The sequence below is a fragment of the Homo sapiens genome, chromosome 1 (assembly GCF_000001405.40).
Source record: "Homo sapiens chromosome 1, GRCh38.p14 Primary Assembly".
Classification (NCBI taxonomy): Eukaryota; Metazoa; Chordata; class Mammalia; order Primates; family Hominidae; genus Homo; species Homo sapiens.
This window is the reverse complement of record NC_000001.11, coordinates 163,307,548-163,334,913: the sequence shown is the minus strand read 5'-3', so window position 1 is coordinate 163,334,913 and position 27,366 is coordinate 163,307,548. Positions and strand designations below refer to the sequence as shown.

Genomic DNA, 27,366 nt, shown 5'->3' with positions numbered 1-27,366 from the left:
CAGCCCTCCATATCTGTGCATTCTGCATCTGCAGATTTAACCAACTGTGGATTGAAAAGTTGACTTTTCATATCCACCGAGGGCTCAAGAAAAACACCTTTTATTTATCCATTTTTCTTTCTTTCCTTCTCAAAAAGAAGCAGGTCTCACTCTGTTGCTCAGGCTGGGATGCAGTGGCACGATCATAGCTCCCTGCAGCCTTGAACTCCTGTTCTCCAGTGATTCTCCCCTCTAAGCTGCTGGAATAGCTAGGATTACAGGTATGCATCACCACATCTGGCTCATTTTTAACATTTTTTTTGTAGAAAAAGGATCTTGCTATATTGCCCAGGCTGGTCTCAAACTCCTGGACTCAAGCAATTCTCTCACCTTGGCCTCTCAAAGTGATAAGATTACAGGTGAGAGTCACTGCACCTGGCCTCAAGAAAAATACCTTTCAAAAATTAAAGTGAAATAAAGGCTTTTTAACAGCACTACAATAAGTGTTAAATAAAATCCTTCATGTCTAAGAAAAATCATACCAGATGGAAATTTGGTGTACTTACAAGAATGTGAGTTAATATAGAAGACATTTTTCCTCATATAAAAAATCCCTTTAAGAAAGAAATCATTATATCAAAAAGATTAATGCACTTGTATGTTTATTGTAGCACTATTCACAATAGCAAACATATAAAATGAACCTGCGTCAATCAGTGGAGGATTGGATTTTAAAAATGTGGTATGCATATACCAGAGAACACTACTCAACCACTAAAAAGAAGAAATAATGTCTTCTGCAGCAATATGGTTGGAACTTGAGGCCATTATCCTAAGTGAAATAACTCAGAAACAGAAAGTCAAATACTGCACATTGTCACTTATAAGTGGGAAATAAATAATGGGTACACATGGACATACAAAGTAGAACAGACACTGGAGACTACAAAATGTGGGAGGGTAGGAGAGGGACAAGGGTTGGAAAATTACTGATTTGGTACAATGTTCACTACTTGAGTGATGGGTGCACTAAAAGCCGAGATTTCACCACTACACAATATATGTATGTAAGAAATGTGGACTTGTACCCACTACATGTATTTTTTAAATGTCAAAATAGAAAATCCTTTAAAAGATAACTGTTTCACACAAATCTAATATCGATTAAGGTGTTTATGATATCTGTAAAAGTAAAATTTATGACACAATAGCACAAAGACCAGTAGTGGAGAAAATAAAAGTATATTATTGTAAGGTATAATATATTTGAAGATAGACAATGGTATGTTAAAGATATATACATGTATACTGAAACTTGGAGCAAATACCATTTTAAAAAGACATATAGCTGATAAGCCAATAACAGACAAGGTAGAATATCTTTTTCATATATAGTATTATATAAAATAAAATTTATTTTAATAGACCAAAATAAGGCAGGAAATGGAGAAAACAGGACTAAAGAACAGGACAAAGAGAAAACAAATAGTATAAAGGTGGATTTAAGCCCAATCATATCAATAATAACATTAAATGTAAATGGTCTAAGACTCCGATTAAAAGACCGAGATAGTGATGTTGAATTTAAAAAGCAAGACCCAACCATATGCTGTCTACAAGAAACCCGTTTTGAATCCAAAGGCACAAGTTACAAGGATGATATGGCATGGTAATACTAATGAAAAGAAACCTGAAGTAGCTATGTTAATATAAAATCAAGTATATTTCAGAACAAAGACTATGTCATCAAGAGGATATAGCAATTCTAAATGTGTACACTTCTAAAACTAGAGCTTCAAGGTACATAAAACAAAAATTAAAAGAACAGACAAAACAGACAAACTCACAATCATAGCTGAAGATTTTAACATCTCTCTATCAACAGTTCAAAGAACAACCAGGAAAAAAGTCTGTAAGGACCCAGTAGGCTTGAACAACGCTATTAACCAACTGGATCCAATTAACATGTTTAAAACACTCCACTCATCAACAACAGCACTCATGGAACTTTTACAAGGGTAGACCATGTGGTGGGCTGAATAATAGCACCCAAAGATGTTCAGGTCCTACTCCTTGGAATTTGTGCATGTTATCTTATTTGCAAAGTGGCTTTATAAGTATAATTGAAGATCTTGAAATGAGAAAATTATTCTAGAATATCTAGGTGGGCCCTAAATGCAATCACAAGTGTCTTTATAAGAGGAAAGTAGAGAGAGATTGGACTATACACAGAAAATAGAAAGCAATGTGATCATGAAAGTAGAAACAGATTTAAATATGCTACACTGCTGGCTTCAAAGACAGAAAGGTCATGAGCTGAGAAATGCAACCCTAGAAGCTAGAAAAGGCAAAGAAACTGACTCTCTCCTAGAGCCATCTGAAGGAGTGCAACCTTAGTAACACCTTGGTTTTGGCTCAGTGAAACCAATTTTGAACTTCTGACCACTAGAACTACAGGAGAATAAATGTATGTTATCTTAAGTCACCAAGTTTGTGGTGATTTATTACAGCCACCATAGTGAACAAATATAGACCATATTCTGGGCCATAAAATAAGTGTGAATACATTTAAATGGATTCAAATGATACAAAGTATATTCTCTGATCACAAAAGAAATAACTTACAAATCAGTAACAGAAAAAATTGTGGGAAAATCCCCAAATATTTGGAAAGCAGACAACACACTTATAAATAACCCATACATGAAAAAAGAAATCAAAAGGGAAATTAGAAAATATCTTGAACCCAATAAAAATGAAAATACAACATATCAAGGTTTGGGGGATGCAGCTAAAGCAGTGCTAGAGGGAAATTTACAGCAATAAATACCTATATTAGGAAAGAAGAAAGGTATCTAATTAATGGACTTGGCTTACTGCCTTAAAAAAAACAAAACTAGAAAAAAAGAGTAAATGAAACCCAAAATAACCATGAAGAAAGAATAACAATAAGCTCAAAATTCAATAATAATCAAAAACCAGAAATACAGAAAAGTCAATTAAGTCAAAAGCTAGTTCTTTGAAAAGTGATAAGCTGATAACCAGACTGGTTAGGAAAAAAAAAGAATAAACAAATTATTAATGACAGAAATGATAGAGAAGATGTTATTACCTACCCCAATAACATTAAAATAATATGGGAATATAATGAACAATTTTATGTTAACAAATTTGCCAACCTAAAAATTCCTTTAAAAAAATAAATCACCAAAGCTCACTCAGGAGTTTTGACAATAAACAACCAGAATAGCCCTTAACCTATTAAAGACTTTGAATTCTTAATTTATCCCAGAGAGAAAACTGCAATCCAAGATAGATCCACTGGTAAATTCTACCAAATATTCAAAAAAGAAATAAATAATACAAATTTTATAAAACAATTCCCAAAAATGGAAGCGGGAATCTTTCCAAATGTATTGTATGAGACTGGTATATCCTGATATTCAGATCAGTCACTGCAGTGACATTGCAAAAAAACTACAGAACAATATCCATCATGAACACAGACAAAAAAACTTAATAAAATATTAGCAAATCAAATCTAGCAATATATTAAAAATATATCATAACCAATCAGGACACATCCTGAATGCAAGGTTGGCTTGATATTCAAAAATCAAGTAATGTAATTTGGTAGATTAAAAAAGAGAAAACCCATGATTATCTCACTAGAGGCCGAAAAGGCATTTAATACCCTTCATGATAAAAACTCTCAGTGAAATAAAGTAAAAGTTGTACATTCTGATAAAAAACATCTAAGAAAAATCCTACAACGAATACTTAATAATGAAAGACTAAATGGTTTCCCCCAAGATCAGAAACAAGGTAATGATGACTGCTCTCATCATTTCAATTCGACATTATACTAAAAGTCCCAGCCAGTGCAGAAACGTAAAAAAAAAAAAAAAAGAATAAAAGGCATCTCTATTAGAAAAAAATTTTGTCCTCAAACAAAAATTGAGAATTGTCAATAAGGAAAATCCTAAGGAATCTACAAAAAAAAAAATCTACTCAAATAATAAGTGATTTTAGCAAAGTCAATATATAAAAATCAATTGTACTTGTCTACACTAACAATGACTAATCAGAAAATTTAAATTAAATTTACAGAACCACTAAAAATTTGATTTAGGCATAAATTTAACAAAATTTATTATACAAGGTCTGCACTCTGAAATTTATAGTACATCATTATGAGAAATTTAACAGCCTTAATAAATGCAGAGATATAGCATGCATATGGATCAGAAGACCCAATATTATTAAATTGTCAAATATCCCCCAAATGAACAATACATTAAAAGTAATCTCAATCAAAATGGCTTTTTCAGGGGAAGAAGGGTAGAAAGTGACAAGCTGGAAATACTAAAATACATATAGAGATGCAAAGGACCAGAATAGCCAAAATAATCTTGACAAAGATGAAGAAAGAGGAGTAACACTGATTTCAAAATTTACTGTAAAGCTAAATAATCAAAGTACTGCTTGACATAAAGATAGACATACAGATCAATGGAGTAGAATAGCGAGCTCAAAAATAGACAAATATACAGTCAATTAATTTTTAATAGACTTCCTTTTTGAAAGGAGTTTTAAGTTCAAAGTAAATCTAAACAGGAAGTAGATAGTTCCCATATACCTTGGGTCCCCACACATGTACAAACTCCTCTCCACCAACTTCCTTCACCTGAGTGGTATATTTGTTACAACTGATGAACTTGCACTGACACATCATTATCATCCCAAATTCAGTTTACATTAGAGTTCACTCCTGGTACTGTACATTCTGAGTTTCAACACATGCATAATGACAAGTATCTACCATTAGAGTAGCATACAGAGTATTGTTACTGCCCTAAAAATCCTTAGTGCTAAAGGGATCCTATTCATCCCTCCCTCACCCCTAACCAGTGGTTTCCACTGATCTTTTCACTGTCTCCACAATATTGCCCTTTCCAGAATGATATATAGCTGTGTAGGCTTTGCAGACTGGCTTCTTTCACTTAATAATATGCATTTAATATTCCTCTATGTCTTCTCATAGCTTGCTAGCTAATTTCCTTGTAGTGTTGAATAACTTCTATTCTCTAGATGTACTACAGTTTATTCATTCACCAAGGCTACTTTCAAATTCTGGTAATTATGAATAAAGTTGCTCTAAACATCTGTGTTTAAGTTTTTGTGTGAATATAAGCTTTCGATTCATTTGGCTAAATACCAAGGAGCATGATTGCTGGATTGTAAAGTTAAGAGTATGGTTGATGCTGTCCTGTCTACAGTGAGTGAGTTCTCACAAGATCTGGTCACTTAAAAGTGTGTGGCACCTTCCCCATTGTGCTTTTGCTCCCTCTGGCTATGTGACATGTCTGCTCCCCATTTGCCTTCTGTCATGACTAAGCTTCCAGAGGCCTCCCCAAAAGCAAGCAAATGCCAGCATCATGCTTCCTGTATAACCTGCACAACTGTGAGCCAATTAAATCCCTTTTCTTTATAAATTACCCAGTCTCAGGTATTTCTTTATAGCAATACAAGAATAGCCTAATACACACACCAAATCTCTTAACTTACAGTAACTTGATGGATAAATATCAAAGTCGAATTTAAGGACAATTAAAGCTAGAATTTTACATTCTAATATAACATTATGACTATTCTTTTAATGATAAAAGATAATTTCTATATGGTAAATAGTAATTCTTACATTTGATAAAATTGGTATGATGAATCCACTATGCAAAATCATACTTACATATTATTTGTAGTCATATTCCCAAATTTATAGAACACTTTTTAAATGGAAGGAGTTTTAAAAAAACATCAGAAAAACAGCTTTTCTGTGGCTCTCAAAAGGAAAAAAAGAAATTCAACAAGATATTAAAAATTCATACTTAAAAATGGGATATACTTTTTAAAGGCAATTTCCTTGAAGTTGTTTTTTTCCTTTTTTTTTTTTTTTACATTTACTGATGGAAAGGTGAAATGGTAGATCGAAGCCAGACATTAAAACTGTTTTAAATTCTCACTTACTTGGACATAGAATATCAGCAGTCTCAAAGTCATTCACCCGGCAGATAGGCAAAAATGAGTCCCTTGAAGATGAAGTACAAAAAGACTATTGAAAAGTATTTTGCACATTAAATGCTAAGCTATAGGATATAAACATCTTATTTTCAGAAAGAGATTTCTGGATATATTTCTTAAGGTCAGTGGACGAAGCCAGAATTCTACTATAATGTATAACCCTATAGCACTGAAATCTATTTTTTCTGTATATTAATCATGTAGTCATGCAATACTAAAGTATAGTTACAGATTCTAATAAATAGTACATAAACTTGGTGACACTAAGACTCTTTTAAGAACTCAAACCTCTTCACAAAGACGGTAAACAATTTTCGACTTACAGTATCTTAGAAGTTCAATTGAAAATATGCTGAGAAAGTGGCACAGTTGGAGGCAGTTCTGTTTGATGACAGTCTACAATTTTGAAAGTTTGAATGAATGTATATGGGATGAAATGAAAAGGAACATAGTAGGTATTCCTTACCAAAGAAAACCATGTCATTAAGAAAACTTAATGTAATATAAATACGAATGTAGACGAAGACAATAAAATCACTCTTTACTCACAGATGAGTAACTAAATTGCTGAATGGTAAGAAGCCTTCCATTAAATGTGGATACATGACTTCAGAGTTCACTGGCATCTAAATGCAATAAACCACAAAATCGACATTACACATTGATTAGACAAAATGAGAAAAATCTTCAACCAAGATCAAAATATATTAACTCACTATCATTAAATTAAAAACCTTAATACATATCCTAGTATAAATGCAGAGTTTTCATCATTATTAATGCTAGGTTCACAGTAGGTGCTTAATAAAGATTTTTAAATGAATTTTAAAAATGGAATAAGGTTAGCATTTACTAAATATCAGGTATTATGCAAATAATTTGCTAAAAGCTCAGTTGCCTCATTTCAATTGTTTCAATCTTACTGCATATCTTCTACTCTAATTTGGGAGTTCTTCCTGAAAAGAGAACAATATGAAGACTTAGCTATTGTTTATTGTAGTCTCTGAAAACAAACCTATAAATCTATAACAATTGCATTGCATCAATGATCTGTGTCATTTAAGTCTTTTACTATGGTTTTCATCTTACTAAATCTATGGATATAAACCATTATTGTGCATAAGATCCCATTGTAAGTGACACTAATTTTATATGTCTTTGAATTTGTTAAAAATAAAGTCAAGAACTTCCTATCCTAAAAGCCAGTATGCATTGTAAGCAGAACTGCAGCAAAACAAAACAAACAAACAAACAAAAAAAACCCCATAATTTTGCCTCATCTTAAACTCACCATGTAAAAATGTTCCAGTCGAATTCCATATACTATTTGTAAGGCTCTCATGTAGATCATGTGCAAGACTTCAGGCTACAGCAAAAAACAACTTTGAATACTCCGATGCATAACTCTAAAGCTATGTCACTATCATCATTACCATACAATATTATAATCGATGAAAGCAAAGAAGAAAAAGGCAACAAAATTATTCCATTTCCCTTGAAATATTCCTTAATTTTTCCAAATTTTAAAACACCTTATGATGCTTAGTTTGCTCATATATAAGTGGTCAATGGGATCAGCTGTTTAAGAATGAGAGCAAGTATACCCAAATCCAATCCAAGCAACCCATCCACCTTAGGAAATAGAAGAAGAAGAGTTAATCTTTCAGAACAGGCTGTCAGGCATGTGGCAGAAATAATGGCACATGGAAAATGTGTGTGTGTGTGTGTGTGTGTGTGTGTGTGTGTGTGTGTGTGAACACAGGAAACCTTGTTTGCTGCCATAGATATTAAGGTTTCCTTAGATTTGAAGTTTAAGGGAACACTTGATCAGGAGGTATAAATGTAATAGGGTTATATAGAATTTTAAAAACCGGATCTTCTAAAACAGCAGTTCCTAAATGCTGACCTGTGAATCTGTTCTGATCCATATATTAATACAAGTTTATTGGGTGAGCATTAAGACGGGAAATATAGGGAAAACGTGGTAATCTTTTAAGAAAGCTGAATTTACTCAGTTTGAAGACATCAGTTATTCTAAGGTATTTCTTCCATTTTCGAGAATCAAAGAGGGTAGTGACATCAGAAAGTTTGAGTTCTACACCATTACACCAGGTTTTACTACGTTATCACTTCAAGTCCAACACAAGAAACTGGAAGGAGACTTTGGGATTTTCTGTGACACATAAATAGTTCATTTTGTATTTAATAACTAAAGATATAAAAAACAATACCTGTCAAAACAAGTCAATTCCCCCTGGGGCATAATGCATGAAAATTAATCTGTAGGCTTCCAAAGAGGATTATTTCTAAGCATTTTTTGTGGTTGAAAACCACTTGGAATAAGTTCCTTGAAGCCCTATCAATAAATGATACTCTCAGACCACCATTCCAATAATAATAATAAAAAATTTAATATACTTTAATATGGTTTAGAAGCTTTTTTTTTTTTAAGAAAACGACTATATTAAAGAATTGAATCCTAATGGGAATGTAGAAGTCACCACACATATAAACTTAGTGTTATTTTTAAATTATGCTAGGTGAGAGATTCTCTCTCAATGAAAATGACTGGTCTCCATCAAATAGGAGGCCATATCCCTTTCTTGCCACACAATAGACCTAGTAGCTTACTTTTTCCCTAAATACCATTATCCACATGCAAACGTAACCACCTTTTACCTTTGGATTTGGATAAAGATCATTCTTGGTGAGGTTTTTACCATCAGCTCCTGTTAAGATCTTATTGCGAATATGAATCACAATCTCAGCTACATTATATCTGGGGAAAGACAAAGTTTCCATCTTGGAAGTTTCCTGTTAATCTGAAGGAAGAAAAAACAATGAGAAATACCACATGATCAGTAGTTCTCATTATCTGGAAACTAATAAACATAATGACAAAATGAGCCAAAGTTGAACTATTCATAGTAGTGTTAACTATCATCAAATATCTTAGTAAGATAAATACAAGTATTTATATATGTATCCTAAAATTACTTTTATTCTAAGGTGACACAGTTATTTTCTGCTAATTTTCTAGTGTCGTTCTCTTTTGTAGGAAGAGAACAACACATTTGGGAAGGAGGACTTTGGTTGAATAGATAGATGAGAAACCACGTGCTTCTCTTTTACATTTGAGGGCCACGGAGCTTAACAAGACCAATCCTAATAATTAATTCTCAAAGCAAGGCATATAGGCAACATCATCAGCAGAAGCTATATATAAACAACAGTAATATAGGGCATAAAAAATTGTATTCAGTTTTGACATCCTATTCATTACATATATAGTGAGATGGCTAATAAGGTTGTAGATGCAAATAGAAGAGAGAAAAAAAACTGAGTAAGAATAGATGATATAATTGATAGGAAATCCTATCACCAGAGTGAGAATTTTAAGAAAACAAAAAACCATTTCTCCTAATGTCTTCACGTAGTGAGTTATTCCTACCTGTGTCCCCCTAGCGTAGTAGTTCTCTAACTTTATCACCAAGGGCACATCTGGCAATGGCTGAAGACATTTTTGATTGTCAGCACAGGAGTGTGGGTGCAACTAGAATCTAGTGGATAAAGACCAGGGATGCTGCCAAACATCTTACGATGTATAGGGTGGCCCCCAACAGCAAAGAATTATCCAGTTCAAAAGGTCAATAAATGCTGATGTTAAAAAACCCTGTACCTGTAATCTCAGCACTTTGGGAGGCCAAAGCATGTGGATCGCTTGAGCCCAGGAGTTTAAGACCAGCCTGGGCAACATGATGAAACCCTATCTCTACAAAACACATAAAAATTAGCCAGGCATGGTGGCCTATGCCTGTAGTCCCAGCCACTTGGGAGGCTGAGGTGGGAGGATCACTTGAGCCTGGGAAGCAGAAGTTGCAATGAACTGAGATCGCACCACTGCACTCCAGCCTGGGTGACAGAGACCCTGTGTCAAAAAAAAAAAAAAAAAAGAAAGAAAAGAAAAGAAACCTTGTCCTAGAGCCTTGCATTTACCCCTGTTATAATACTTGTTACAATGTACTGGAATTATGTTTAAAGAACTCTGACACCACATTGTGAGATTCCGGTAAGTAAGGATCTTTTCATTTTCTTCATATCTCTCCCTGTAACCACAAAAATAGCAGTAGTAACAGCAAGAGAGAAATGAGCAGCAATAGCAGCCACTGTTATTGCTCTCAGCCACTCCCTTAAATACCTGTTGTGTTACCTTCAGATCCCCTACTCTCCAGTGAAGCAAAATGATCTCGGAGACCCAATGTGAATATATTCAATTTTGCAAACAAATTGAAATGGGCCACAATTCTGACAATCTATTTCTTTAGGCTCCTAATTTTTTTAGAATTTTAGGGTTAAAAAGGGGAGCTTTGGCAACTTGCCTAACCTCTAATAAATGGAAGCAATTCTAAACAACCACTAACAAATAACTTCCCAATTCAACTTGAACATGTGACAACATCACAGAATTCACTCTCAATGCAACTTTTTCCCACTTTATTATGGTTCCAAATTAAATAACTCTTCCTCATAGTGTGTGGAAATATGTTTTGTGGTAATTTTACCTCCTGGTCCTATGTAGTCACTGCAACTAAATAGAATATATTAATCTCTGTTTACATGACACCATTTTCAAAAACATGAAGAAAGCTATTACACCTCTGCTAAGCCCTCCCTTCTTTAAAGTAAGTATAATTTCTTTATGTATGGCTATATGTAACTTCAAAATACTCCTTATATGACATTGTTTTAGAAACTACCATCTTATTCATCTTCCTCTAACACACACTATTTTGTAAATGTCTTCTTAAAATGTAGTGCCCAAACTGAACACGACACTCCAGATATGGTTGGTCTAGGGCACAGTATAATGGCCTCTGCTGTAGCACTTACTGATCAACTGAAACTCCAAGAACTTCATCATGACCGTCTTGCATCAAGGCGGCTTCTCCCTGTTCTTTTTTTCCCCCTTTCCCTCTCTTTTTTTTTGGTCACCATCTGCTGTGTCACTTGTGTTCTTGTTGTATAAATTGATTATTTGAAACTTAAGCAAGGATTTGTACTTTCTACTATTAAATTTCATGATTGCAAGCTTTCCTTTTAGAGCTAGGACGTTTTGTCTATTTTTTTTTCTTTGAGGCAGGGTCTCAGTTTGTCATCCAGGCTGGAGTGCAGTGTGGCACAATCACAGCTCACTGCAGCCTCGACCTCCCAGGCTCAAGCTATCCTCCTGCCTCAGCCTCTCAAGTAGCCAGGACGACAGCAGGCACACACTACCACGCCCTGTTAATTTGTGTGTGTGTGGAGATAGGGTCTCACTATGTTGCCCAGTCTGGTCTTGAACTTCTGGGCTCAAGTGATCCTCCCACCTCAACCTCCCAAAGTGCTGGGATACAAGCATAAGCCACCTTGCCAGGCCACAGAGCTGGGATCTTTTGGAATCCAGATTCTGATGCATCACATATTAGATGTTCCCTTCAGCATAAATATGCATTCTACATTTTCATCTAAGTCACAGCCTTAAAAACTGTTCATAAAAGGACTGGACCAAAGAAAGACTTCAGAAAAAGTCACTTTTCCAAAAAAGCTGCATCTGAATTAGAGAGTATTGCAATAGAAAGCGTAGGTGTAAAGTATCTTCATAATTATTATCACTTGTTCCTCTCTTCTCTAATGTTTGGCACTCTGCTATCAGATTAATCCTTATAAAAACACTTAACGCATCATATAATATTTGTATGAAAATACTTCAATTACTCACCTTACCCACCACATCAAATTCAAATTTTTCTGCTAGGCTTCTAAACCCTTTAATAATTGAATGAAATTTCTGCTCCAAGTTAGTCTCCTAACTTTCCCAAACTTCCAGTATTTCCTTTTGGAACCTCCTCCAATATCCAAATTCTATCATTCTTTCGAAGTACAATTTCAGTTACAATTTATTCATTAACGAGAGATGAAGACACTTTCCAACTACATAGTTTGAGCTCCTAGGTGGGATAAAGTATATAAATGACTTAATATATATGCAGTAATACTCTGTCTAACGAGTAGCAAAGATTAACCTATAATTACTCATCTGGTTTCTCATTTATTTGCAGCACCACGATGCTGAGCAGAGTGAGTAGGTACTAAAAGTACTCTGTTAAATTTTACACACTTCGTTTTGTTAAAATAAACTATTTGTGGACATCACAGTTCCACGAGGCAGAGATTAAACAAAAATAAACAGAAATGGCTCCCAACTTCAATGAATTAAGTAAAACGTTCCTTGAACTTTTAAAAGGAACAATGATGGCGTTATGCATGCGTAGTGCTATATATGCGCTGCTCTTTTCCTTTGAATTTTGGATTAGGTGTGATATTTTTACCTTTTCATTCATGGTTTTGGATTTGGTTAAGAAACGTTTGGCAACGGAGATGTGTAAAAAGCTGACAAGCATCTGCAGCCAAATAAACCACATTACCACCGCCTTTCCAAAAATCACACATAAATGTATGCCTAACTTGAACAATTTCAGCTCAAGCTCGTCTTCTTCGGTCTATGCTGCACCAGAAAACACCCGTTAGTTTAGTAGGAACTGAGCTCTGGTTGTTTCTGGGACTAACATCAAATAAAAAGTAACGACGGGCCCGCCCCTCACCTCCCAGGCTCTGGTTTCTTCCGCCTCCTCCCACCGCTGAGCACGACGAAAACACCGCCAGGCCCAGCGTCCCGGCACCTGCCCGCGCCTTGGGATGGAGAAGGCGTCTGTCTGCAGGCTTCCTTCCTCCGTCCTCTCGCGCTCACCTACAGTGCCGGCCGCCGACAGGAAGACGGCGAGTTCGGGGAGCAGCTACAAGCAAAGTCAAAAATCAGCAAACGTCAACCGTCATCACTTTTCAAACTTGCCGCCTCCTACTGGAAGTCCCGCCCCATTCCGCCAAGCCCACGTCCAACCGCGACGGATGCCGGTTGGGCTCAAGAGACGCCAGGCAGGTGGGACTGGAGTTGTCATGGAAGGGGCAGGGCGCAGGGCGGAACCATTGCTCGCGGAGCTGGCGTCGAGTCGGAACCTCGGACTGCAGGAAGTGGGAGCACCGCGGTTTCGGGGAAGAGACCGGGGTTGAGCGTCTAGCCCATCTCTGCGTGACTTCCGCCAGCGTTTAGAGCGTTTTCGGGGTCCGAGTTGAAGAGCAAAACCAAGTGAAGGAAACTTCACTAAGTTCAGGGTGACAAGGGAGGAAGTACAGAGGTAATTTATAGAATTCCAGAGTAATAATAACTTGTTGAACATTGATTATGTGCCGGGTTTTGTTAGATGCTTATAAGCATCATCTCATTTAGACTTCATTAAAGGGGAGAAAAGGGATAGTGGAGAGATACTATCATCCCCTCAGGTGAGGGCTCTGAATCAGAGAATGCAGTTCTCTGCGCACAGTAGTTCACAAGTAGCATAGCTGGGATATGAACACACATCCTCTGACTCTGTGCTCATAAGCACGACTTCAAGAGGTGGAAGGAACATAACAGTTCATCTGGTCAAATCCTCTCGCTTTCACCGATATGAAAACTGGACTCAGAGAGAAGTGATTTGTTAGAAGTTATACAGTAAGTGGGACTGTAAAGTAGAAACCAGGTCTCCTGATTTTAGCTTCTCCCTCTTCGATCAGTGCTTTTCACCTCTGAACTGTTCCCCAAATTTGCACATTCCTGAGTGAGTTGCATTCTTCAGATAAGGGGCCCTGAAATCTGTATTTTTTTACATGGTATTTTGTTTGTTTGTTTTGGCAAGAGTGGAAACACTGCATTTAACACAAGTTAGGAAGCCATGGCAGGCCTGGTTGTCAGGGGAGAAAGCCATTAAGTTTTATTGAGGTTTGGGACAGGAGAAGACGTAATAGGACTTGTATCTGGTCACAGAGTAGAGCATCATCTGGTGACAGTCGTGTGTTGGATGGGGAACCTGAACTGAATTATGTGAAAAAAGTGCTAGAAAGGTTGTATTGAATGTAGACACAAATTCCGCTGCTTTGTCCTGTCCTGAAGAACTAAACCTATTGATAGTGAAGTCTATACCAATTCTAAATAAAAATACATTTCATATCATTAGTTCAGGGCTTTTGTCTTTCCTTTCAATGTCTATTTACTGATGTAAGTCTCAAAGTCGGAATCTAGTAAGACCCAAAAGGACATTAAGAAAATAGATTTTAAAAAAATATTAGAGTCAGTGAGGAAAGCAGAAAAAAGAGACCTGTCTCATTGACACTTGCCAAATCAAATTGATTACTGATACATGCATAATTTCCACCAAATTATATGTCCTTAGAGGCAGGGAAGGGAACCATAGCGTAGTGACTGAGAGCACATCTCTACGGTCAAAGGGAGTTGGATTGAAATCCCTGATCACACCATTTACTACCTAGGTGGACTTAGGCGAGCTATTTAACCTAACTGAGCTCGTTTCTGCATCTTTAAAATAGGGTGACAGTTCTATCTGCTTTATACGGTATCATGAAGATTAAGTGAATTAGTTCCTGTAGAGTGCTTAATTAAGTGCCTGGCAAAATTGTGAGTACTTGAAAAGTATTAGCTGTTATTTTGACTATTATTATTTATACATGGTCCCTAGGAAAATACCTTGCAAGTGGCAAGTGCTCAACAAATGTCTAAATTGTCGTTGAGAATCTAGAAAAAAAACCAAGCGATTTATGTGAAAGCCAAGATTAGAATGGACCATGGAGAAAGAGAAAAATGAGGCAAAGGAAGAAAAGAGCAAGACAACCATTTTGTTATATCAACAATAAATATTGTTTATTTGGGGGTTAATATTACTATTGATGTGATAAATTGAGTTATATTAGAAGTAAATTATTTATTTAAAAAATGAGTGTTTATTCAAATTACCTTAATTAGAAGGTTAAATCTGACTTTTTAAAACTTTTAGTTGCCTGATACTGGTCAGTGTAAGGTAGAAGGTGGAACATCAGAATTCTCAACCTAGACATTAGTCTAAGAGTTTTGTTATCACCCATAAAAACACAGACTATTGCAGAAAACTTTAGTATTCTTTCTGATTGTAGCATCATAATTTTGTACCCTCACATGTGCTACATTTGCCCTACTATTTCATTTTCCCTGACAGCCCTCCTGCTAATACCTCCCTTCACAGCCTAGACTGCATGGTTTATCAGCATCCAAACTTCCTGTGTCTGATGCCTCTGACCCAGGTGCCTGTCAAAATCTTATCCGTGCATCTTGTCTATAAATTCTTAGCTGGAAACACTGGAGAAAATGACACAAAGTGATATATGACAGATTGTCAGTCTCCATCTTCAGCTCTTTCCCTGATTCCTGACAATCCTTTAATTTATCATCAGTAATTTCCCTGTCCTGTAACTTTCAGTGATTTCTCACAAACTTTACCCTTTCTTCATTCCTCTTCCCAACCTAAATTCCTCTCTTTAATAGAAAGTGACCAGAGTGGTCTTAAAGGTGTGTTTCAAGCACATAACACATTCGTATGCATCTGCAATTTGTTGTGTCTATTGCCTTTCTAATTTTAATTTCATGTTCCTTTTCTAGACTGCACTTTAAATTCTGGATGACAGACCTATCAGGACTGAGTGGACCTTTGAGTGACAAGATGGGGGTGTTCCAAAGAGACCATGGCAGCCTGCAGCTAGGACTTTAATGCAAGTGGTGATGCTGTGATATCTAGTGCTTTAAACAAATCTCTTTTTTTAAGTGACAGGGTTTCCAAATTGTTATTTCTACTTTAACAGATCAATAGGGACAAAAAGTTGATTCACTTGGTCTAATGTGGTAGGAATAGGTGAAATACTAAGACTGGATCCTACACTCTACTTCCCATCAGGCACCCATTCTTATGAATAGAGATTCCATAGGGGCCACACACAATCCCAGTACTTTTTTCCCAGTTAATTGAGAAAATTAAAGCCATCATACAATATATAACTTCCTCCCTCTCCACTTCTGTCAATGCCACATATATCCACCTGTCTTATTTGTCTGTCTCAGAAAATGAAATGTACTTCCTCCACCAATGTATGACCACTGTTTCTTGTTCTAGACCTCTCTTTTGCATTTGGTATCATTGATTAAACCCTCCTTGAAACTCGTTTTGCATTTCTCCCATCTTTTTCTACCTGTCTCATGCTTCTTGGGGGTCTTTTTTTCTCTGCCTACCCATTAAATAGTATTTCCCAAAGTTCCAACCTTGAGTTGTTTTCTGTCTGTATCTTCCCTGTGAGCACTGTCCACTCATTGTTTTAACCTATTTGCTCATGGATTCTAAAACTACTGCTATTCCTGACCTGTTCCTTGAAGTTCCGACTTTCGGGAGGCTCACGAGCCCTTCAAACTCTAATTTGTCCTTTGCTTTCATTTGTACTCCCAATTCTATCTCATCTCACTGCTTTCAGCCATAACTACTACCACCCCCACCTACACCGCCAAATCCATCTTGTAAGTAGCAGCCAGAATGACCAGTCTCAAATGTAAATCTATTTCACTTGCCTCCTTAAATTTCTAATCTTCCTCTGCAGTCACCTTCAAGATAGTCCAACTCCATGGCCTGGTGTGCTAGGGTCTTCATTATCTTGCCACTGTTTTCCTTCCCAGTCTTGTTTCCCTTTCCAGTACCATCTCCCATCCTACCCACTTCGCATTCATGAGGCTGCTTTACACCTGAGACCTTTTGCATTCTTGTTGACTTTGTCTGGACTATCTTTATTTTCTTTGGCTGACTCTTCCTTATCCTTACTAATTTTTTAGGGCTCTTGCAAGAAGCCTTTCCTTGTTCCATAGTCTGAGTTAGTTGACTTTTCTCTCTGCTTTCTTGACATTTGTGGGTTCATTCAGAAAATATTCATTGAACCCTTATTTTGTGCCAGACACTGAGCTAGATACTAGAAATATAATAATGAACAAGCAAATATGGCAATAACCAATCTAATAATTTCCTGACAGAGTTTACATTCTCATAGGGAAAAAAGAAAAAAAAAAAGGCAGTTCAGTCTTATTGGCTCCATGCTTGATAATAGCTAGGAATTGAAAGGGTAAAAAACAAGTATTCTAGATAGAGGCTAACAATGTTTATGAAGAAGAACACAGTCTAGGAACTGAGAGATTCTAGACAGGGGTGGAGAGGTAAACAGGGACCAGATCATGAAGAACATTAGTGATGATGTCACAAAGTTTGGACTCCTTCTTAAGGCTAATAGTAACTTTGAATGGTTTCAACATGATTAGGTTAGTATTTAGATGATGAATCGCTACTCTGAGAAAAAGAACTCAAAGGGCAGCAATACCAGCAAGAAGGAAACCAGTTAGGAGATAATTGTAGTAATCCAGGGAAAGAAAGATGGCAGTTTATACTGGGGCATTGCCAGTGTGGATAGAAATAGATCTCAGAAGAATTTTAGGAAGTAGAAGTGGCAAAACTTGGTGACTGAATTGTGAGGGCAGAAGTGGGAGAAATCAAGGATAGAGTTTCTTAAACAAGCTTTGGTGAAGACAGGGACTACCCTATTTGCTGTCATGTATCCACAGCTTAGCACAAATCTTTATACGCTGGAGATGCTTGATAAGTACGAGTGAAATTTTCTGGCTTGAGTACCCAGATAAATGGGATGCCAGTCTCTGATTTAGGTAACACAGAGGCAGACTCACTTGGGAGGTAACTGGTGATTCAGTTTTAAACATGTCTAGCTCAACATGCCTGTGAAACATACACATGACAATGTCCAGATACATGGCAATTGGATGAATGATTCTGAAACTCAAAAAGAGAGGTCTGAGATGGATTCTTTGCATACTTACAAAAAAAAAGTTTATGTTATATTGAAATGATCTGTTTTGTGCCTGTCTCCACTATTATACAGGGCTGGTTCTTAATGACCTTTGATGCTCCAACACCTAACACCATGCCTGGTACAAACTGCACACTCAATTAGTATTTGTTGTTGAACTGAACTCCTTTTGAGACATGATGCGTCTAACAAAGTAATAGTAGTAGCCTCTGAGGAGGGAAACTAGCAGGTCAGAGTGAAAAAGAAATTTTCTTTTTGTTGAATATATTTTAGTTCTTTTTGCCTTTTCCTCCAATGTATTTCTATTTCCTGAGAAATAAAAAGATGACATAAAAAGTGTTCTATTAGATTTTTGTGGACTTAATACCGAAAGCAATATTCCAACTATGTTCTAGTCACTATAGAGTGGAATATTAAAATGCTATCTGATATTATATCATATTAGCTTTTTTTTTTTTTGAGATAGGGTCTCACTGTGTTGCCCAGGCTGGTGTCATCATAGCTTACTGCAGCCTCAAACTCCTGTGCTCAAGCACCACATTACGTTATTGATTGGTTTACAAATTCTATGGTTGTATTATTGATGCCATCATTCAATTCACTTATATGAATTATGAACAGTAATAGCAAGATGAAGTGAAATTATGAACACACATTTTATATTAAGGGCATGAGACAAAATCTTTGAAACTATGTACTGTATTATGCGATATATACAAAATCTGCAAAAGCAAACAAGTGTCATTGTTTTATACCTGCCTAATGTTTCATATGAGAGGAAATAATGATACGTCTCTCCTATCAGCCAACATTTCTAGCTTGCTGACATAGGTAGCATTTAATATGCAAAACCCTTTAATCACAAATATCAGAAAGCACATCTTAACTGTAGTTATAAATGGGTAAGTAAAAATGCGTAATGCTTTTATATATTTTTGAGTTAGTATTGTAGTGTATAATTTTATATAAATGGTTGAGGCCATAGATATTTTGAAAGTACGCTAGTATTTAAAGAAAATGGTAAATTCTAGTAACACTTTTGAATATACAGCATATTCACTGGGTGGCGCTGTTGCATTAGTGTTAACCTTACATAGTTTGAAAGTTTTATTTCATTTTCATTCATAAAAGTAAATTAGAGTGATAAACATTGAACACAATGTTCTGGATGAAAAAAATTAGATTCTAAATTTATTGGCATTAGAATACATGTTTAGAGCCCAGGGTTAAGAAGAAAAATAGCGTTGAATTCAAAATAGCTATCTGCTTTTTATTACCCTTTCATCATTACAAGCCTGTTAATCCACTTGACTTCTCAGCTGTGTTCATCTTTATTAGTGGATTTCAGAACTGAGCTGTACATTTGCAATACAGTATCTTTGTTAAGGACTCGCATGGAATTCTTAGTTTGGAACTATAAAGTACCTATTCTTTGCTAATTTGTGATGAGCTCTAAACAAGATCCAAGGAAGCAAAAAGTTGCTATATTAAACTCTAACCTCTCTAGTATCATTTCCCCAACTTTCACAGCAAACTCTATTATTTTAATATAGTTAGTATAGAGAACCTTAGGAATTATCAGCTGAAACAAATTAGATATTCTTAAAATTTTTTGGTCAATGTGACTTTTTAAAATTCAGTTTTCTTTTGTAGAGATGGGGTCTCACTATGTTGGCCAGGCTGATCTCGAACTCCTGGCCTCAGGCAGTCCTACTGTCTTGGCCTCCCAAAGTGCTGGAATTACAGGAATGAGCCAACATACCCGGCCTAACTTCAATTTTTATATTCTGTATATTTTCAATATTAGTATTACAATATCCAGTGCTATTTTTCAGTTATTTCAAATGAGTTAATGAGATTCTCAGGAAAAATACTGATCTTAATGTAGTCTAATTTTATTTGAATAGTTTTTGGGGCACAGGTCCTTTTTGGTTACATGATTGAATACTTTATTAGTGATTTCTGAGATATTAGTACATCTGTCACCCGAGCAGTGATTGTACTCTAATTTTTAATTAGTTAGTTATAACACATTTTAGAAGGGTGTCTTAGTTCGTTCAGGCTGCTGTAACAAGCTGCCACAAACTGGGTACCTTAAAAGCAACAGAAATGTATTTCTCACAGTTCTGGAGGCTGGAAAGATCAAGGCCCTGGCAGCTTTGATGTCTGGTGAGGGCTTGCTTTCTGGTTCATACATGGCATCTTCTAGCTGTGCCCTCGCATAATGGAAGGCATGAATGAGCTTTGTTGGACCTCTTTTTTAAGGGCACTAGTCCCATTCATGAAGGCTCCCCTGTCATGAATTAATCATTTCTCAGAGGCCCCACCTCCTAATATCACCTTGGGAGTTGGAATTTCAAAATATGAATTTTGGGGAGACACAAATATTCATGCCATAGCAGAAGGGGAATTTTTAAAAAATGAAACTCATAATAACTATCATAAATCAGAAAAATTTGGGGATAAGTAGGTTTTTTTTGTTGTTGTTGTTGTTGTTTTGTTTTGTTGGTGTTTTGTCACAGTTCTGGTGCCATGTTATCATTCTCATGAATTCTTTATGATAGTGATTTATATTGTCTAGAGTACATTTTCTAATATGGACCCTTAGGAGAAAATCACTTCTAAGTTCTCTATATCTTTTTCAAATCCTGTTTTCTCAAAAAGGGGTCTAAGTCTATGCATTTCTATATAAGTACCAAGTAATATTATCTCATTTCATCTTTAGTCTTTGGAAAAATCAGCTGCCAGTTTTTCTTTACTCTTTATTAAGCAAATTCAACCTGGTAAACACAGTTTGACCATATATATTCAAAATTATTACCTGAATATTGTTCCTAGGACAATCCATTAAGATAATTTCCATTTATACACCTTTATACAATATTTTATAATAATGATAGTGCATATTTGCAGAAGATGTACCAGATGCCAGGTGTTCTCCATGTATTACCTCATTTAATTATCACAACAACTGCATGAAGTAGTTTCTCTTCCTATTCCATTTATAAACACACACACACACACACACACACACACACACACATATATATCTTATTTACTTTAAAGAAAACTGGAACAACTAGCTCAAGGTCACATATCTAGGAAACCAGGAAGACAAAAGTTGAACCCAAGTAATTAATGTTAGAAGCTCTGTCCCTAGCTCCTCTACTGTGCTTCCTAATCTCAAACGCTTACACTGGTGGAGGCAGTGTTAATTTTTGTAACCTGTGCAGCAGACCCTTTTTATGTTCTACAGATTTTATCCCTGAATCCTTCTAGAAAGGATTGTATCCTTAGATACCTACTATTCTACCACTTCCCTACAGTACAACACAAAAGATATAGACCTATGAAGGGTTCCTCAGTTCTGTGGGGAAGGGTTTAGTTGGTTGGATACTTTGAATTTCTTTGCTATGCTTTGTTGTTCAAGGGATTATGTGTCTCTCTCCCTCCATAAGCCTTTGGGTGGGTTGGCAGTCTTACACAGACCTTCTAGGCCTTCAGAGATGCCCTACATATGTATTGTCTCATTCCTGACTCTATTTTATTCCTCTGGAAGCCTCTAGGGTCTCTCCCATCCCTTTCTTTCCTAGAATCTCCTATCACTCCAAAGAGAGAATAAAGTTCTCTCTCAGTTTTCTTCCTTTGTGTTAAATATTTCACAGCTTAGTGATTTGTTGATTGCAGTTGCCTCTAGTTCTGTTCATTGGCTAGGGCTTTTCTGAAGATTTTCTCCTAGAGTTAGTATTAACTAAAACAAAACACATTTAACCACATATTCTACCCTGAGGATTAATTTTTTTTAAAGAAAATAACTATTTTTCTGCATGAGGAATTTATAATAACATAATTTTGACATTATTTCTTTAGAATAAACCAGACTATGTTGTGTTAAGAGACATTTCTACCCCAATTGATATTGAACTATTTATCTGAAGTCACTGTTTATCCCCTTACCACAGCTCAGGTGTAACGTTATATGGGGAATTAGTACATTTTATTTCACCCTGTTATATTTTTATTTTAGGTTGAAAGACAGAAAGTAGAATGGTAAACCATGCAGGTGATTAGCTAAGTAGAAAGTAGAAGTTTAAACTAAGATTCTAATCTCAAGATAAATCAGACTTGGCAGGTATTGCAGAGGTTTTGTGTGGATTACAAATACAATAGCCATCATGCCATCAACCAGAATTCATTGAATACATGCACTTGTCAGACCCTGTGTTTTCACAACCAAAAGTTAGGACAGATTACTTACCAGTACAAAATAATGTTTTCACTTTGGATTCTTCCCTGTGTGCGAAAATATAATGCTCTTATATCTGCTGGAGTCCAGATTCCTGTCTACTAATCCATTTTTCACATCATCACAATCTACCTTTTTTATCTAACCTAATCATCCAGTACTGTTTAAAATGTATTCTCTGCTTTAATCAGGCTAGTTTCCTTAAACAATCCTGGTTCATATCACTGTCGTTTTCAGTAGCTTACTTCTACCCTGTGCGCCTTGCTCCTTTTCCATTTAGGATTCCCTTTGCCCTCTTTTCAACCTAGCCAAATTTAGTTCAGCTACCACTTCTTTCACCAGTCCTTTAGTTTCCACTTCACTTCATACAGATCTTTCTTTTATTTAGTCTCCCATTACATATAACTACTATCTGTCCCACATAATTATTGTATTAGTCCGTTCTCACACTGCTATAAAGAACTGCCCAAGACTGAGTAATTTATAAAGAAAAGCAGTTTAGTTGACTCGCAGTTCAGCATGGCTGGGGAGGCCTCTGGAAACTTACAATCATGGTGGAAGAGGAAGCAGGCATGTCTTACATGGCAGCAGGTGAGAGAGCAAGTGAAGGAAGCCAAGGGGGAAGAGCCCCTTATAAAACCATCAGATCTCATGAGAACTCACTCACTATCATGAGAACAGCATGGAGGAAACCACCCCCGTGATCCAGCCACCTCCCACCAGGTCCCTCCCTCAACACCCGGGGATTACAGTTCAAGATGAGATTTGAGTGGAGACACAAAGCCAAACCATATCAATTATATATAAGCATATCTTGTTTTATTGCACTTCACATATCTTGTTTTATTGCACTTCACTTCATTATGATTTGCAGATACTGCATTTTTGACAAATTAAAGGTATGTGGCAACCCCACATTGAGCAAGTCTGTCAGTGCCATTGTTAACAGTGGCATGTGCTCAATTTGTGTCTTTGTCACATTTTGGTAATTCTCTCAATATTTTAAACTTTTTAATTATATATCTATTATGGTGATCTGCAATCGGTAATCTTTGATGTTACTATTATAATTGTTTTGGGGCACCAAGAACCACCCATATAAGAGAACAAACTTAATAAGTAAATATTGAGTGTGTTCTAACTGCTTCATTGACCAGCCATTTTCCCATCTCTCTCCCTCTCCTTGGGCCTCCCTATTTCCTGAGACACAGCAATATTTGAATTAGGCCAATTAATAACCATATAATGTCCTCCAAGCCTTCAAGTGAAAGAAAGAGTCAAATGTCTCACTTAAAATAAAAACTAGAAATGATTAAACTTAGTGAGAAAAGCATATCAAAAGCTAAGATAGGCCAAAAGCTAGGCCTCTTGTGCCAGACAGCCAATTTGTGAATGCAAAGGAAAAGTTCTTGGAGGAAATTAAAAGTGCTTGTCCAGTGAACACACAAATGATAAGAAAGCAGAACAGCCATATTGCTGATATGGAGAAAGTTTGAGTGGTCTGGATAGATCAAATCAGCCACAACATTTTCTTAAACCAAAGCCTAATCCAGAGCAAGGCACTTGCTCTCTTTAATTATATGAAGGCTGACAGACAGGAGGAAGAAGAAAAGTTTGAAGCTAGCAGAGGTTGGTTTGTGAGGCTTAAGGAAAGAAGCCATCTTTATAACATACAAGTGTGTTATGGTTAGGCTTTGTGTCTCCACACAAATCTGGTCTTGAATTATAATCCTCATAATCCCCATGTATCAAGGGAGAGATCAGGTGAAGGTAATTGGATTATGGGGTGATTTCCCCCCTTCTGTTCTTGTGATATTGAGTTGTCATGAGATCTGACGGTTTTATAAGGGGCTCTTCCCCCTTTGCTCGGCATTTCTCTTTCCTGCTGCCTTGTGAAGAAGGTGCCTTGCTTCCCCTTTGCATTCCGCCATGATTGTAAGTTTCCTGAGGCCTCCTCAGCCAAGCTGAACTGTAAGTCAATTAAACCTCTTTCTTTATAAATTACCCAGTCTCAGGCAGTTCTTTATAGGAGTATGAAAATGGACTAATACAAAGTGTAGAGTGAAGCAGCAAGTGCTAAGGCAGAAGCTGCAACAGATTATGCAGAAAATCTTGCTAAGATGATGAAAGTGACTACGCTAAACAACAGATTTTCAATGTAGACAAAACACCTTCTTTTGAAAGAAGATGTCATCTAAGGCCTTTTTTTTTTTTTTTTTTTTGAGACGGAGTCTTGCTCTGTCGCCCAGGCTGGAGTGCAGTCGCGCAATCTCTGCTCACTGCAAGCTCCACCTCCCGGGTTCATGCCATTCTCCTGCCTCAGCCTCCCGAATAGCTGGGACTACAGGCACCCACCACTGCGCCCGGCTAATTTTTTGTATTTTTTAGTAGAGATGGGGTTTCACCGTGGTCTTGATCTCCTGACCTCGTGATCCGCCCGCTTCGGCCTCCCAAAGTGCTGGGATTACAGGCGTGAGCCACCGCACCTGGCCCATCTAAGGACTTTCATAGCTAGAGAAGAGAAGTCATTGCCTGGCTGCAAAGCTTCAAAGGACAGAATGACTCTTGTTAGGGGATAATGCAACTGGTGACTTTAAGTTGAGGCCAGTGCTCACTGACCATTCTGAAAATTCTACAGCCCTTAAGAATTATGCTGAATCTACTCGGCCTCTACTCTGTCAATGGAACAACAAATCCTTGATGACAGCACATCTATTTAAAGCATGGTTTACTGAATATTTTAAGCTCCCTATTGAGACTCTGTCGAGACTGGAAAAAAGAGATTTATTTCATATTACTGCTCATTAATAATGTTCCTAGTCACCCAAGAGCCCTGATTGAGATTTACAAGGAGATTAATATTGCTTCTTGCCTGCTAATACAACATCTGTTCTGCAGCCCATGGATCAAGGAATAATTTCAAACTTCAAGTCTTATTATTTGAGAAATATATTTCATAAGGCTAGACCTGCTTCAGTGATTCCTCTTATAGATATGGCAAAGTAAACTGAAAACCTTCTGGAAAGGATTCACCATTCTAGATGCCATTAAGATCATTTGTGATTCATGGGAGGAGGTCAAAATGTCAATTTATTATAATAGGAATTTGGAAGAAGTTAATTCCAGGCCTTATGAATGACTTCATGACTTTAGTGGAGGAAGCACCTGAAGATGTGATGGAAATAGCAAGAGAACTAGAATTAGAAGTGGCACCTGAAGATGTGACTAAATTGCTGCAATATTATAATAAAACTTGAATGGATGACGAGTTGTTTCTTTTGGATAAGAAAAAAAAAAAGGTTTCCTTAGATGGAATCTATTGCTGGTAAAGATTCTCTAAACATTGTTGAAATGACAGCAAAGGATTTAGAATATTACAAAACTTTGTTGATAAAGCAGTGGCAGGGTTTGAGAGTACTGACTCCAATTTTGTAAGAAGTTCTATGGGTACAATGCTATCAAACACCATCACATTCTACAGAGAAATCTTTCATGAAAGGAAAAGTCAACTGATGTGGCCAACTTCATTTGTTGTCTTATTTTAGGAAATTGCTGCAGCCACCTAAACCTTCAGCAACCACCACCCCCGCTTTTTTTTCTGTCACCCAAGTGGGAGTGCAGTGGCACTACCATAGTTCACTGTAACCTCTATCTCCCCAGCTCAAGTGATCCTCCTGCCTCAGCCTCCCAAAGTGCTGGGATTACAGGCATGAACCACTACACCCAGCCTATCAGTCATCACCCTGATCAGTCAGTAGTCATCAATACCAAGGCAAGACCCTCTATAAGCAAAAAGATGATGACTCACTAAAGACTCATATGAGCATTAGCATTTTTTAGCAATAAAGTATTTTTAACTTAGGATTTGTGTATTTTTAGACATAATATTTTTGTACATTTAACAGACTATAGTGTAAACATAACTCTTTATATGCACTGAGAAACCAAAAAATTTGTGTCATTCCCTTTATTGTGATACTCACTTTATTGCAGTGGTGTGGAACTGAACCTGCAATATCTCTGAGGTATGCCTGTACATAATTATGTACTATTTTATATTGGTTTTGAGTCATTTCATGCAGGTAAATTTGATTATCTCAATTAAATTGCAATACCTTTAAAGTCAAAGACTGAGTCTTATTTGGACTTTTTATTCTCATGACAGTGAACTATTGGCATGGCTCAATCCATTGACCTGTTTTGGTTCCTGATGAAGTTTTGTTAATTTAAATGAGAAAAATAAGGACAGTGAAGTAAGTTTTTTATAAAACTAAATTTATTTGGCTTATAAAACAGTTTAATATTATGCCTTTCCTATATTTTTTGTGTTATCTCTTTTTCTAGATGATTATAATAGATGATAATTTTTAAATGTTTCTATTTGTCAAAGTACAACATTGTCCATCCTGTGTCAGTGTCTAACTTTTCCTTGTACTTATTCAAATAATCTCATAGTTGGAACTTATTACTTATTGTGTCACACAATATGCTGGTAAACACTGAAATGGGGAGGGGTTATTTTCATTCTATTTTAGAATGGCACAGTTTCTATGGTATAGTGACTAATCTGAACTAATATGTAAAAGATTAAGATTCACTTGAGAATCATTTTCAAAGAATAACTTTTTTAAATGTAGCACACTGCTGACTTGTGTAAAAATTAAATGTGATACTGAACTTGTTTGAAACTCAAATTTTTGGACCCCACCCACAGACCAACTGAATCAGGATCTCTGGGTTTAGGAACTTTAAACTCACACTTTAAAGTAGTTCTGCAAGTGATTAGGATGCAGATTGTTCATGGAGTTAAGAACAACTGCTATCCTAGCAGGCTGATACAGATGTAAGTTTCTATCTCATTTCTGCCAGTTACTGCTCATTATTTTCTGGATAAGGTTTCTAAACATCTTTAAGTCTCAGTTTATTCTTCTATAAAATATGGTTACTAATAAGGCTGCTGTGGTGAAGTTTAAATGAGATAATGGATATTAAGTAGTGTTACAATGAAGGTGGTCAATAAATATTAATTTACTTCTTTTCTTTCCTTTGAAATTCCGTTGTACTTCAGTGATGAGTAGTATCAAGAATTTCTGATTCATGTACTAGACATTGCTTTTGGCCGCAGATCTCATCACTGAACCAATCATGTGTTACTAAAGCTCCTTTTTTTTTTATTACTCTTAAAGCCAAAGTTATCTCACTTGCCATTAAGTTGCAGAAGTACAGTACTTTCCTAATCCGCACGCTTC

General features: G+C 36.4%; 2 protein-coding genes and 1 long non-coding RNA gene across 37 annotated transcripts in view, besides 2 other annotated features; 2 read left to right on the top strand and 1 right to left on the bottom strand.

Annotated features, from left to right (window-relative positions):
* Window positions 1-12,960, bottom strand: part of NUF2 (NUF2 component of NDC80 kinetochore complex) — a 33,806-nt gene extending 20,846 nt beyond the window's left edge. Inside the window, exons 1-6 of one of the 5 annotated variants that reach the window (XM_024450112.2) lie at window positions 12,702-12,960; window positions 11,819-12,047; window positions 8,740-8,882; window positions 7,352-7,426; window positions 6,610-6,686; window positions 6,007-6,068 (exon numbers count right to left, since the gene is read on the bottom strand). In XM_024450112.2, coding sequence (XP_024305880.1) covers window positions 6,007-6,068; window positions 6,610-6,686; window positions 7,352-7,426; window positions 8,740-8,862 — 337 coding nt within the window. In that variant the 5' untranslated portion in view covers window positions 8,863-8,882; window positions 11,819-12,047; window positions 12,702-12,960. The remainder of the gene's footprint in view (window positions 1-6,006; window positions 6,069-6,609; window positions 6,687-7,351; window positions 7,427-8,739; window positions 8,883-11,818; window positions 12,048-12,701) is intronic. The other 4 variants (XM_024450113.2, NM_145697.3, NM_031423.4 and 1 more) reach the window with 4 other exon arrangements.
* Window positions 12,741-12,970: an enhancer, noted in NCBI's record as "active region_2014". NCBI's record gives its function as "activates an Ori minimal core promoter by ATAC-STARR-seq in GM12878 lymphoblastoid cells {active_cell/tissue: GM12878}" and the evidence as "EXISTENCE:reporter gene assay evidence [ECO:0000049][PMID:35858748]".
* Window positions 13,011-13,220: an enhancer, noted in NCBI's record as "active region_2013". NCBI's record gives its function as "activates an Ori minimal core promoter by ATAC-STARR-seq in GM12878 lymphoblastoid cells {active_cell/tissue: GM12878}" and the evidence as "EXISTENCE:reporter gene assay evidence [ECO:0000049][PMID:35858748]".
* RGS5 (regulator of G protein signaling 5) overlaps window positions 13,179-27,366 on the top strand; it is a 179,437-nt gene continuing 165,249 nt past the window's right edge. For 3 of the 9 annotated variants that reach the window (NM_001414476.1, NM_001414479.1, NM_001414475.1), the window contains exons 1-2: window positions 13,179-13,292; window positions 15,623-15,732. In NM_001414476.1, coding sequence (NP_001401405.1) covers window positions 15,731-15,732 — 2 coding nt within the window. In that variant the 5' untranslated portion in view covers window positions 13,179-13,292; window positions 15,623-15,730. Of the gene's footprint in view, window positions 13,293-15,622; window positions 15,733-26,282; window positions 26,371-27,366 lie in introns of all 9 variants that reach the window. The other 6 variants (NM_001414478.1, NM_001414473.1, NM_001414477.1 and 3 more) reach the window with 3 other exon arrangements.
* The window catches only part of LOC127814295 (uncharacterized), a 77,231-nt gene continuing 63,043 nt past the window's right edge, over window positions 13,179-27,366 (top strand). For 7 of the 23 annotated variants that reach the window (NR_182650.1, NR_182652.1, NR_182646.1 and 4 more), the window contains exons 1-3: window positions 13,179-13,292; window positions 15,623-15,732; window positions 26,283-26,370. This is a non-coding gene — a long non-coding RNA (uncharacterized LOC127814295). Of the gene's footprint in view, window positions 13,649-15,182; window positions 15,268-15,622; window positions 18,211-24,508; window positions 26,795-27,366 lie in introns of those variants that run through there. The other 16 variants (NR_182654.1, NR_182653.1, NR_182648.1 and 13 more) reach the window with 9 other exon arrangements.